The 14,422-nt window shown below is 41.3% G+C and overlaps 1 long non-coding RNA gene across 1 annotated transcript; it reads right to left on the reverse strand.

The window, feature by feature from the left end:
* Positions 1 to 609: 609 nt before the first annotated feature.
* LOC124904719 (uncharacterized) lies at positions 610 to 13,869 on the reverse strand. Its single transcript, XR_007067258.1, has 2 exons — positions 13,734 to 13,869; positions 610 to 789 (listed from the first exon to the last, which is right to left on the reverse strand). It is a non-coding gene; the product is annotated as an uncharacterized LOC124904719 (long non-coding RNA).
* Positions 13,870 to 14,422: the final 553 nt, after the last annotated feature.

A 14,422-nucleotide genomic window follows, 5' to 3' on the forward strand; every position in this document is an offset into this window, starting at 1 on the left:
GCACTCCAGTCTCTGGGCGACAGAGCGAGACTTCGTCTCAAAAAAAAAAAAAAAAAAAAAAAAAAAAAAAAACCTTGTCACTTTAATGTTTTACTTTATTGGAAAGAGATTGTTAAGGATTCCAGCTAGTTGTTTCTGGATAGCAGAAATGACTAGCCTTCTTGGAACAGATCTTCTGTCTTCTGAAAAAGTCACTAGAATAACTCTTCAGTCACACACATGTAAAGCAAGTGTTTACCCCAATTGCTAAGAACCCAGGAAGGGAAAATCTTAAGGGATGTGGGTATTCTGGGAGTAAACAGATTGACAGCCACACTCCTTCACTTTGAGATACAAAAGTTCTAAAACATTTCTGTTAAACCAGAGTGGTCAGCTCTCATGAGAGGATCGAGGAATTGCTATAGGAAAACTCACCATAATGGTTAGGGGTGTGTGTGTTAGTAGCTCAGACACAGGTACCTTAGAGAGCTGGTATTAGCTAGGAAGGACTACTGATGGGTTGAATTTGTATCCCCTGTGGTAAGAGGCATAACAAGCTGATTTCTAACTGAGGGTAGAAAGTGACTGTGTTAACTTGGGGCTGCTGCAATTACAGGACCACAAGCTGGGTGGTTTAAACAACAGAAATTTATTGTCTTGCAAATCTGGAGGGGAGGGTAGAAGTCAGGAATCAAGGTGTTGGCAGGGCTGCACCCCCTCTAAAGGCTCTAGGAGAGGATCCTTTCTTGCCTCCCCCAGTTTCTGGTGGCTCCACGTGTTCCTTGGTTTGTGACAGCAGCTCTCCCATCCCTATAGAGAGAAAGTAGATGGTGGCTTAGGGATGGGGAGGATGGAGTGACAGGGGATGATAGCTGAAGACATAAGGTTTCTTTTGGAGGGGATGAAAATCTAAAATTGATCATGGTGATTGTTGTCCATATCTGTGAATATATGAAAAACTATTGAATTGTATACTAAATGGGTAAATGTTATGGTTTGTGAATTGCATCTCAATGAAGTTTTTTTTAAAATGACACAAACTTGAGATAAGAGCCCAACTTTATTCTTTTGTATGTGGCCATCCAGTTGTCCCAGAACCATTTGTTAACAGGACTATCACTTCCCCACTGAGTAATCTTGGCAACCTAGTGGAAAGTCAGTTGGCCGTAGACACGTGGTTTTATTTCTAGATTCTACTTCTATCCTTTTGATCTATATGTCTGTCTTCATGTCTGTACCACACTGTCTTGATTACTTTTGCCTTAGGTTGGTACAAAAGTAATTTCAGTAAATTTTGAAGTTGGGAAGTGCCAGTCCTACTTTGCTTTTCTTTTTCAAGATTATATTGGTTATTCTGGGTCCCTTGCGATTCCATATGAATTGTACATTCAGCTTGCCAATTTCTACAAAGTCAGCTGAGATTCTGACAGGGATTCCACTGAACCTGTAGATCAATTTAGGGAGTATTGCCATTTTAACAATACAAGGCTTCTGATCCATATACAAGAGAGATTTTTTTTCCATTTATTTAAATCCTCTTTCATTTCTTTCAACAAAATCTCACCATTTTTAGAGTATAAGTTTTGCATTTCTTTTGCTAAATTTATTCCGAATTTTTTATTGGTTTTGATGCTATTGTAAATGGAATTGTTTTCTTGATTTCGTTTTCAGATTATTCATTGCAAGCATATGGAAATACAATTGATTTTTATATATTGACCTGGTATCCTGCAACCTTGCTGAACTTGTTCAATAGTTCTAACAGTTATTTGCTGGACTTCTTAGGATTTTTCTATATACAAGATCATGTCATCTGCAAAGAGTTTACTTCTTCCTTTCAATCTGGATGGATGCTTTTTTTTTTTTTTTTTCCTTTCATGCCTATCCTGACTAGAACCTCCAGTACAATGGTGAAGTGGTGGAAGCAGACACCTTTGCCTTGTTCCTGATCTTCGGGGGAAAGCATCCAGTCTGTTTTCACTAAGTATGATGTTAGATGTGCTTCGTAGAGGCCCCAGTGTCAGGTTGGGGAAGTTCTCTTCTATTGTTAACTTCCTGAGAGTTTTTACCATGAATGGGATTTTGCTAAATGCTTGTTTTGTATCTATTGAGATGATCATGTGGTTTTTGTTTTGTATTCAACTGATAGGATATACTATATTAATTGATTTGGGGATGTAAAACCAATCTTGCATTCATCCTGTGATAAAGCTCATTTTTCATGGTACGTACTTCTTTTTATATATTACTGGATTCCATTTGCTAGTATTTATTTGAGGATTTTTGCATCTGTATTGGTAAAAAGATATTGGGCTGTAGGTTTCTTGTGGTGTCTTTGCTTGGTCTTGGTACCAGGGTAATACTGGCCTTAAGAATGAGTTGGGCAGTGTTCCCTCTTCTATTTATTGGAAACCTTTGTGAAGAACTGATATTAATTCTTCTTCAAATGTTTGGTAGGGTCAGTGGTGAAGGGCCTAGGGTTTTCTTTGTGGGTAGTTTTTATATTATTAATTCACTTTCTTTGCTTGCTATAGATTTATGTAGATGTCCTATTTCTCTTAGACTCAGTTTCAGTAGTTTGTGTCTTTCTAGAAATTTGTTTTTCATCTCAAGTATCTAGTTTATTAGCAAATAGTTGCTCACAGCATTTATTTCTATAAGGTTGGTAGTAATGTCTCCTCTTTCATTTCTTTTTTTAAAAATTTAAATTTTATTTTAATTGAAAAAATAGTAATTATATATATTTATGGGGTACAATGTGATGTTTTGCTATGTTTATATTGTTAAATGGTTAAATAAAACTAATTAATAAATCTGTCACCTCACATACTTATTTTTCATGATGACATTTATGATAAGTGAAATAAGCCAGGCACAGAAAGACAAATAGACTCCATATATATGTGAGATACATGGAATCTAAAAGAGTCAAACTCACAGAAGTGGAGAGTAAAATGGTGATTACCAGAGGCTGGGGAGGAAGATGGATGGGGAAAGGGAAACTGTTGATCAAAAGGTACAGTTTCAGTTAGACAGGAAGAATAAACTTTAGTAATCTATTGCATAAAATGGTAATTATAATAAATAATAATTTATTGTACATTTCGAAGTCCCTTTTTCATTTTTGATTCTAGTAATCCAGTCTGCTATTTTTTCCTGGTATATCTAGCCAATGTTTTGCCAATATTTTGGTTTGTAAAAGAGTCAACTCTTGGTTTGGTTGATTTTCTCTATTGTTTTTCTATTCTCTATTTCACTTATTTCTGCTCCAATCTTTTATTATTTTCTTTTTCTACTTGCTTTATGTGTAGCTTGCTCTTCTTTTTCAGTGTCTTAAGGTGAAAATTTAGGTTATTTTCAATCACTTCCTTAATATAGGCATATACATCTATCAGATTTCTTTTAAGCACTGTTTTTGCTGTATCCTACAAGTTATAAGGTATATTATGTCTTCATTTTCATTTATATCAAAGTATTTTCTAAGTCCCTTTTAATTTCTTCTTTGACCTCTTGGTTATTTAAAAGTGCATTGTTTATGAGAACATATGGACACAGGGAGGGGAACAACACACATTGGGGCCTGGGGGTGGGTGAAGGGAGAGCATCAGGTTGGATAGCAAATGTAATGCATGCGGGGCTTAATACCTAGGTGATGGGCTAACAGGTGCAGCAAACCACCTTGGCTCAGGTTTACCTATGTAAAAAACCTGCACATCCTGCACATGTATCCCAGAACGTAAAATTAAATTAAATTAAAATTTAAAAGAGAGTGCATTGTTTAATTTCCACATACTTGTGAGTTCCCCAGATTTCTGTCTTTTATTTATATATAATTTCATTATGTTGTTATCAGAAAGTATGCATTGTATTTCTACTCCTTTAAATTTATCAAGGTTTATGGCCTAGCATGTGGTTTATCCTGGAGAGTGTTCCATGTGCACTTGAGAAGAATACAAATTCTCCTGTTCTACAGATATCTGCTAGGTCTAGTTGGTTTATAGTGTTGCTCAAGTGTTTTATTTCCTTATTGATTTTCTGCCCAATTGTTCTATTCGTTATTTTTTTCCTGACTTGAGGTATGACTGACAAATAAAAATTGTATATATTTAAGATGTACAATGTGATGTTTTGATATACATTGTGAAATGATTACCACAACTAAGCTAATTAATATATTCATCATCTCATATAGTTACAACATTTTTTTAAAGTTGGGTATCAAAATCTCCAAATATTGTTGCTTATTGTGTATTTCTTCATTTCTGTCAGTATTTATTTAATGCATGTCGGGGCTCTGTTGTTGGATGCCTATGTGTTTATAATTGTTACATCTTCCTGATACAGTGACCTGTAGATCATAACATATTTCTTATGTCTGGTAACGTTTTTTAAAGTCTATTTTGCATTATTAGTATCGCTGTTCCAGCTTCCTTGTGGTTGCTGTTTGCATGATATATCTTTTTTCTTTCTATTACTTTCAATATTTTGTATCTTTGAATCTAAAGTTTGTCTTCTGTACACAGAATATCATTGGATATTGTTTTTTAATACAGTCTGAAAGTCTCTGCCTTTTGATTTATTCAATCCATTCACTTTTAAAGTTATTAATGATATAGTTAGATTTACATTTGCCATTTCACTTTTTCTTTTCTATGTCTTATGTCTTTTTTGCTCTTCTATTCCTCCTTTATGTTTTCTTTTATATTAAGTGAAAGTTTTCTAATATAGGATTTTAATTTCTTTACTGATTTTTTCACTAATTTCTGAATTATTTCCTCCGTGGTTGCTCTACGGCTTATCATATACATCTTATCAAAATGAGCTTCAGATTTATACTAACTTAATCCTAGTGAGATATAGAAACATTGTTCCTATGAAGCTCTATTGCCTTTTCCCACTTTTTGTTAGATGTTATACATATTGCATCAAACATTATAAACCCAGGAATGCACTGCTTTAATTATTTTTTTATACACTTTTTTTTTTTGAGACCGAGTTTCACTCTTATTGCGCAGGCTGGAGCGCAATGGCGCGATCTCGGCTCACTGCAACCTCTGCCTCCCGAGTTCAAGCGATTCTCCTGCCTCAGCCTCCCTCGTAGCTGGGATTACAGGCATGCGCCACCACGCCCAGCTAATTTTGTATTTTTAGTAGAGATGGGGTTTCTCCATGTTGGTCAGGCTGGTCTCGAACTCCCAACCTCAGGTGATCCACCTGCCTCAGCCTCCCAAAGTGCCAGCCCTATTACAAGCGTGTTAATTTTATCGTGAGAAGAAGCTGTTACTCTTACTGGGGGTTCCCTTGTAAGTGACAAGGCATTTTCTTTTTTCTGCTTTCAATTTTTTTCCTTGTCCTTGGCTGTCAGTATTCTTACCAAGATGTGTCTGTGTGTGTGTGTGTCTGTGTTCATTCTACTTGAAGTTCATTCAGCTTCTTGGATAGGTATTTTATTGTTTTTCAATAAACTTAGGAAGTTTTAAGCCACTGTTTATTAGAACAATTTTTCTGTTTCTTTCTCTTTCCTCTCCTTCTGCCATTCCTATTGTTTTGCTTAATGGTGTTCCACATTTCTCTAGGGCTCTACTTATTTTTTCATCTTTGTTCTTTCCCCCCATTCTTTGGATTGCATTATTTCTATTTTCTTTTCTTTTTCTTTTTTTTTTTTTTTTTTTTTTGAGATGGAGTCTCGCTCTGTCACCCAGGCTAGAGTGCAGTGGCGCAATCTCGGCTCACTGCGTTCAAGTGATTCTCCTGCCTCAGCCCCCTGAGTAGCTGGGACTACACGTGTGCCACCATGCCTGGCTAAGTTTTGTATTTTTAGTAGAGGTGGGGTTTCACCATGTTAGCCAGGATGGCCTCGATCTCCAGACCTCATGATCCGCCTGCTTTGGCCTCCCAAAGTGCTGGGATTACAGGCGTGAGCCACCACACCCAGCCTTATTTCTACTTTCAAGTTTGCTAATTCTTCTGTCAATTCAAATCTACTATTGAGCTTCTCTAGTATATTTTTTTCATTTCGGTTATTATACTTTTAGCTCTCGATTTCCATTTGGTTTTATTTTATAATGTCTAACTTTTTAGCGATATTTTTTATTTGACCATACCTTTCCTTTCCTTTTTTAAAAAAATGGGTTTCCTTTAGTTATTTGAACAGATTTATAATGGCTACTTTGAAGGCTTTGTGTGCTCAGTCTGACATCTGGTTGCTTTCACTGGACGTTTCTGTTGCCCGCTTTTTTTCCAGTGTAAGGGTAACATTTCGTTTCTTCCAGAACCCATAGCACTTCTCTTTCCTAACTAGCATTGTCCAGTAAAACACCTGTAGTGATAGAAATGTTTATATCTGCCCTGTCCAATGTAATAGCCACTAGCCACATGTGGCTATTGAGCACTTGCAATGTGGCTAGTGTAACTAAGAAAGTGAATTTTAAATTTTATTTCATTTCGATTAAGCATAAATAGCCATATTTAACTTCAAGAAGATAAGTGGCTATCTTCTTGAACAATGCAATTGTAGGCCATGCTCAGAGTACCAATTCCTTAGAATTCCCTACTCAAATGTTCCCAAACCTGCTTCCAGCAACTGTTTGGGCCTCTTCCTAGTCCATCTTCTACCTGACACCCAGAACAGATCATGCTGGTACGCACACCCCAAACCCAAGGGGTAGGCAAGAGGTGATGTGGGGTACATGCACCAAGCTCCAATGTGCAGGCTTGGTATCCACATACATGCATGAATAACTCCTTAGGGGTACAGGACATCAACAAGGAAGGCAAGAGAAGGGAGTAAGCTATAGATAGGGCGCCTCCATTTGTACTCTTTGTCCAGGATCCACAAATGCTAGAGATGTCTTTGACTGGTAATGTCCCATTTCTTAGCTATGTGATGGCTACATGTGTGTTCACTGTATAATTTTTTGACTCTATTTATATGTACAAATGTGCACGTGTGTATGTGTATAGGTATACACATATATGCTATATTTCACAATTCTTTAAAATGATTAAAAAATTTTTACCACTATTAGGATAAAGTCCTAGCTCGTTCCATGATATATAAAGCCTTGTACAAACCATCTTCTGCCTATCTTGGACCTGATCTCCTGCCATTCTCCCTCTCTCCTGTCACCTCTAGTCACACTGACCTTTTTGCTCCAGCCAACAGTGCCAAGTTACAGAGCTGTTTGTTGGAGGAGGTTTAATTGGCCCTGCATTTAAAACCATTTGTATTAGTGAGGCAAAGAAATGCCTGCGATGGGGGTTGCATGAGGACTGGAATGAGCAGCCACAGTGTCAGAAGTGATGTGGCAACTGCAGCCTCCCAGAGTTTAGGAGGAAAGACATCTGCTTATATAAGAAAGCTGGAGACAGTTCTGAAGGCTGCCAAAAAAGGAACACTTGCAACTGAAGGAACCATCAATCAGGTGCCCTGAACAGGTGGAGGCTGGGGCTACTCTCAGCGGAAAGCCAGGCTCAGAGCTCCAATTACCAGCCATGAGGAATCCAACTATCAAAACTGATGCCAGAGGGGAGGGAGAGGAGGAGACAGAGGCCTGACTCAGCGGAAAGAGCGATTCCAGAGCACCTGAGGTAACTGACGAACCACCAGAGAGGAGTTGGAGATCAATAACAGAAATATCTAACTCAGTGGTTCTCAAAGCCAGATCCCCAGACCAGCAGCATCAGCTTGACCAGGGAGCTGGTTAGAAGTGCACATTCTCAGGCCCCCCCTTGGTAAGAATCAGAAACTCTAAGGCACAGGGAGGGACCAGTAATCCCTGTTTTAAGAAGCCCTCCAAGGTGGCTTTTCCAATGTTGGATAAATTCTGAGAGCCATAAATCTAACTTTAATTGAGCGTGGACTATGTACCAGGCGCTATTCTGAGTGTTTGCCTCTATTAACTGAATATTCCACATAATGGCATCATGAAATAGAAGGTGAACCATTTTACAGATGGGAGCTGTGAGACAGGATAATTTATGTAACTTACCTAAAATCAGAGAGCCAGACAGAGGGAGAGATGCAATCTGAACCTCAAGAGCATGTGCTCTTCCTTCACCACTGGGCTCTACTGCAGTGTTGCTCAGACCTTAGCACACAACTCCTGGGGGGCTTCTGAAAACACTCCTGCTGGAACCCCTTGGTAGAGTCTGTGATTCACTAGAATTGGGGCTGAGAATTTGCATTTCTCACAAGGCCAGATGATTCGGAGGCTCCTGGTCCAATTTCACTCTAGGAGAACCATTGTGCCATGTTTTACCACCTTCCCCACCTGAGGATTTAGTCCAGCAAATGGAAATGTTGATTGAGGCTTTTTGAGAAAATCCATGTGCAGAGCCCCTTGCCGGGACTCTTTTGGCTACAAATGACAGAAAACCCTGTTCTAATTGTCTTAAGCAAAAATGGTATCTATAGGCCACTTGAAACAGCCTAAGTCTGCCTCTAGGCACAGCTGGACCTAAGGATCCAGGAGGTATTAACAGTTAGGATTCCCTCTTTTTCTCTCCATCTCTCAGCTCAGCTTTCCTCTCTGCCTTCATTCTGTTGTCTTCATTCTCCCCTCACAATGGCCCCCAGCAACTCTGGCCTTAGATTCCACCAGGTAGAAACCCCCAAGTACCCCTTCCTATTATCCCATCAGAAGTACACGCTGGCTGTCATTGGCCAGACATGGATCACAGGCGCATTTCTGAACAATCATTGTGGTCAAGGAAATGTAATGTTCTTATTAGCTAGGCCTGGGTTATGGGCTCACCTCTAAAGAGCAGAAAGTGGGCTGAGCTGCACTAAAAGCACACAGATCAAGAGTAGGGTAGAAGAATCGGGTGCTGGGGCCAAAAAAGGAAATGAATGTTGAGCAGGCAAATATAACCAATGTCCACTACACCATCCTCAAAGGACAAAATGTGTTCAACATTAAACTCTCAAAGGATGGGCCCAAGCACAGAGATCATGATCAAAGGGAAAACCCAGGCCAGGTGCTGTGGCTCACACCTGTAATCCCAGCACTTTGGGAGCCCAAGGTGGGAGGATCACTTGAGGTTCAAGACCAGCCTGGGCAACATAGTGAGACCCCGTCTCTACAAAAAAAAAAAAAAAAAAAAAAAAAAAAGGCCAGGCATGGTGGCTCACACCTGTAATCCCAGCACTTTGGGAGGCCGAGGCAGGTGGATCATTTGAGGTCAGGAGTTCGAGACCAGCCTAGCCAACATGGTGAAACCCCATCTCTACTAAAAATATAAAAAATTAGCTGGGCGTGGTGGCAGGTGCCTATAATCCCAGCTACTCAGGAGGCTGAGGTGGGAGAATTGCTTGAACCTGGGAGACAGAGGTTGTAGTGAGCTGAGATTGTGCCACTGCACTCCACCCTGGGCCACAAGAATGAAACTCTGTCTCAAAAAAAAAAAATTTTTTTTTTTAATTTAGCGGGTGTGGTGGCACATGCCTGTAGTCCCAGCTGCTAGGGAGGCTGAGGTGGGAGGATTGCTTGAGCCAAGGAATTTGAGGCTGCAGTGAGCTATGATAGTGTCACTGCACTTCAGGCTTTCTCTTGGGGTCTCTCGCGTGGCTATAGTCAGATAGTGACGGGAGCTGGGGTCATCTCGAAGGCTTCCTCACACACATGTCTGGCAGTTGATGCTGGCTGCTGGCCAGAATACACTCATGTGAACCATCCATGCGGCCTGGGCTTCCTTCCATACCAATTTGTTTCCAAGGGTGAGCATTTCAAGAAAGAGAACCAGGCAGAAGCTGTGTTGCCTTTTTGTGACCTGGCCTCAGAAGTCACATAGTGTCATTTCTACCATACTCTCCTGGTTGTCTTGATGCCTAGGATCAAGAGGAGTGGTTACAGACTCCAGCTCTTGGAATGGGAGTGGTACATGATCAGAAGAGCAGGGGGAATGGGAGACATTGATTGTCACCGTCCTTTTTGTAAAATAATATGCCACAGGGAGGCAATGACTGGAAGGAAGGCATGCGGGGGATTCTGGGGGGCTATTAGTGCTGTGTTTTTTAAATCTGCATGCTGCTCACAGCCAGTTGCATAATTTTTTTCTTTTTGAGACAGGGTCTTGCTCTGTTGCCCAGGCTGGAGTGCAGTGGTGCAATCTCAGCTCACTGCAACATCCGCCTCGCAGGTTCAAGCCATTCTCGTGCCTCAGCCTCCCGAGTAGCTGGGACTACAGGTGTGCACCACCACGTCTGGCAAACTTTTGTATTTTTAGTAAAGAGGGGGTTTCACCATGTTGGTCAAGCTGGTCTCGAATTCCTGGCCTCAAGTGATCTGCCCACCTCGGCCTCCCAAAGTGTTGGGATTACAGGTGTGAGCCACTGTGCCCAACCCAGTTGCCTAATTTTTAAACTACACCACAATGTCATTTCCAGAGTTCCAGACTTCCATTAATTCCTTCAAATCTTAGCTTTACTGTCCTCTCCTTCACAAAACCACTAATGACATCCTACACTCCCTCAATAACCTCTGCTCTCTCAGCTCCATGAGGCCTAGTGATACCTCTATTATAGTAAATATTACCTTACCTTAAATTGTCCAGGTTATGTGTCTACCCTCCACTCTAGGACAGAAGTCCTCAATTTTTTTTTTTTTTTTTTTTTGAGGCAGAGTTTCACTCTTGTTGCCCAGGCTGAAGTGCAATGGCGGATCTCAGCTCACTGCAACCTCTGCCTCCCAGGCTCAAGCAATTCTCCTGCCTCAGCCTTCCCAAGTAGCTGGGATTACAGGTGCCCACCAACACACCTGGCCAATTTTTTGTATTTTTAGTAGAGACGGGGTTTCACCATGTTGACCATGGCTGTTCTCGAACTCCTAACGTCAGGTGATCTGCCCGCCTCGGCCTCCCAAAATGCTGGGATTACAGGCGTGAGTCACCGCGCCCGGCCGTCCTCAAAGATTTTTTATCACATCCATGAGCTGCATCTCCGCTGTATGTATGTGTGCGTGTACATATATACAGATACAGTGGTAATTTACAAACTGTACAGTATTAATAGGCACAATATAAAACATGCGCTAAGACAGAAATGCTTAAAGGATGAGACAAAATTGGTTGTACTCACGCCTGTAATCCCAGCACTTTAGGAGGCCGAGGCGGACAGATCACGAGGTCAGGAGTCTGAGACCAGCCTGACCAACATGGTGAAACCCTGTCTCTACTAAAAATACAAAAAAAATTAGCCGCTTGTGGTGGCACGCTGCTGTATTCCCAGCTACTCAGGAGGCTGATGCAGGAGAATCTCTTGAACCCAGGAAGCGGAGGTGGCAGTGAGCCGAGACGGTGCCACTGCACTCCAGCCTGGGCAACAGAGTAAGACTCCATATCAAAAAAAAAAAAGTGGTTGTAAATAGACTTTCTAATATTTTCCTGCACCTAAAATGTTTGTCTTGAAAACCCCCAGAAAACCAGGACCATCTTCAGAGACTATTACCATGACCACAAATTCCACAAGGACAGGTAACAATCTGTCTTACTCACCTCAGTATCCCAGCCACTGAATGAGATGTGAAAATGTATTCAATTGTACACCAAACATGTATTACAGAATGGGAGAAAATATTTGCAAACTCTCCATCTGACAAGGGATTAATAACCAGAATATAAAAGGAGCTCAAACAACTCAATAAGAAAAAAAAACTTATAAACTTATTTAAAAATGGCCAAAAGATCTGAATAGACATTTCTCAAAAGAAGACATACAAATGGCAAACAGGCACATGAAAAGGTGCTCAACATAACTGATCATCAGAGAAATGCAAATCAGAATTACAATATCATCTCACCCCAAGTAAAATGGCTTTCATCCCAAAGACAGGCAATAACAAATGCTAGTGAGGAGGTGGAGAAAAAGGAACCCTCGTACACAGTTGGTGAGAATGTAAATCAGTACAGCTACTACGGAGAACAGTATAGACGTTCCTCAGAAAAAGTGAAAATAGCTGGGCGCAGTGGCTCATGCCTGTAATCCCAGCACTTTGGGAGGCTGAGGCGAGTGGGTTGCCTGAGGTCAGGAGTTTAAGACCAGTCTGGCTAACATGGTGAAACCCCGTCTCTACTAAAAACACAAAAAAATTAGCTGGGCATGGTGGTGTGTGCCTGTAATCCCAGCTACTCCGGGGGCTGAGGCAGGGGAATTGCTTGAACCATGGAGATAGAAGTTGCAGTGAACAGAGATCGCACCACGGCACTACAGCCAGGCAACAGAGCGAGATTCCATCTCAAAAAAAAAAAAAAAAAGAAAAAGAAAAAGAAAAACTGAAAATAGAACTACCATATGATCCTGGCAGAATCCCACTGCTAGGTATATATCCACAAGAAAGAAAATCAGTATATGGAAGAGACATCTCCACTCCCATGTTTGTTGCATCATTGTTTACAAGCGCCCAAATTTGGAATCAACCTAAGTGTCCATAACAGATGAATGGATAAAGAAAACGTGGTGCATATACACAATGGAGTACTATTCAGCCATAAACAAGAATGAGATCCTGTCATTTGCAATGACATGGATAGAACTGGAGGACATTATATTAAGTGACAGAAGCCAGGCACAGAAAGGCAAACTTGACATATTTTAACTCATTTGTGGGAGCTAAAATGTAACAACTGAACTCATGGAGATAGAGAGTAGAAGGATAGCTGCCACAGGCTGGGAAAGGTAGTAGAGGGGAGAGGAAGTGGAGATAGTTAATGGGTACAAAAATACAGTTCGACAAAATGAGTATCTAGTATTTGATAACACAACAGGGTGACTACAGTCAGAACTGATTTGTTGTACATTTTAGAATAACTGAGGGAGTACAATTGGAGTGTTCATAACACAAAGAAATGATGAATGCTTGAGGTGATGGATGCCCCATGTACCCTGATGTGATTATTACACACACACCTATACCAAAATATCTCCTGGACCCCAAAAATATGTACACCTACTATGTACCCACAAAAATGGAAAAATTAAAAATAATTTTGAAAAGCTTACTTAAGAAAAAAACAGGTAAAATTTTCAAAGCTAGAGGACATCAGAGAAAAAGTCAGGATATAGTAAAAAAAAACATGAAACTTAAGCCACTTCTGGCCCTCCCATCAGAAAGCTTGATGCCAGATGAAGATTGCAGCCAAGAGCCCTGGAGAGGGGGTGGCACCGTGGAGAGAAAGAGAAGCAAGAAAAGAAGGGGTTTGGTGCTAGGTAGTTCTTGGTGATGAGTCATAACTGACTGCAAAAAGTCAGCGTAAATAGACACTTGGTGAAGGCCGGGCGCGGTGGCTTATGCCTCTAATCCCAGCACTTTGGGAGGCCAAGGCAGGTGGATCACCTGAGGTCAGGAGTTCGAGGCCAGCCTGACCAACATGGTAAAACCCTATCTCTACTAAAAATACAAAAATTAGCTGGGTGTGGTGGCGGGCACCTGTAATCCCAGCTACTTGGGAGGCTGAGACACGAGAATCGCTTGAACCCAGGAGGTGGAGGTTGCAGTGACTGTTAAAAAAAAAAAATAGATCCCTGGCGGGGCACACATACTGCTCCTCCCATCAAGGGATGGTTGGCATACCTTGGCTTGAATCCAGGTTGCCCTTAGTGACTTACTTGACCAATATAATTCAGAGGAAGTGGCATTCTGGGACTTCCGAGGCTAGAGCATAAGATGTGTGGCTTCTGATTGAGCTTTTTGGAAAGCTCAGTCTTGGAATGCTCCCTCTCGGAACCCAGTCATCACACTGTGAGAGGCCCAAGTCACCTGGAGAGGTTATGTCTGGCATTCCAGGCCACAGCCAGCATCAGCTTCCAGCCATGTGAGTGAGCCATCTTGACCTTCAGAGTGGGGCCTTTAGATAACTGTGGTCCCAGCTGATATCCAACTGCAATGGCATGAGAACCGCCCAGCTGAGCCTAGTCAACCTGGAGAACCATGAGTGATAATAATTAAGTTGTTTTCAACAGCAAAATTTGGTGTAGCAGTAGATAACTTAAACCGTGGGCTGCCTCCAACAGCTTCTGTAAATATCGACAACTTTCTCCTGATCTTAAATGTATGACTGCAATGTTGGAAATCTCTTAAAAGTGATGGGTGGAAACAGCAGTGTGTCTGGGCACAGAAGGCTTCCAATGGATGGCAAGACCAAGCATGATAATCTGTGGTCTCTTTTAGAGCCCACTCGGTAAAATGGGGGACCTGGAACCAACCTCGCAGGGATGTTGTAAGGATTCATGCAGTTAAAGCCTGCAACGCAGGTCCTGATGCATAGTAGGTGCCTCCTAAAATGTTAGTTTTAACGTGTGTATCATGTGGATCACTAGTTAACATGTGTTTGACTGCAGCTAAATGGCCCCAAATCAGCAGTGCAGTGGCTCACACCTGTAACCCAACACTCTGGGAGGCCGAGGCGGGTGGATCACCTGAGGTCCGGAGTTCAAGACCAGCCTGGC

The sequence above is a fragment of the Homo sapiens genome, chromosome 19, assembly GCF_000001405.40.
Source record: "Homo sapiens chromosome 19, GRCh38.p14 Primary Assembly".
NCBI lineage: Eukaryota > Metazoa > Chordata > Mammalia > Primates > Hominidae > Homo > Homo sapiens.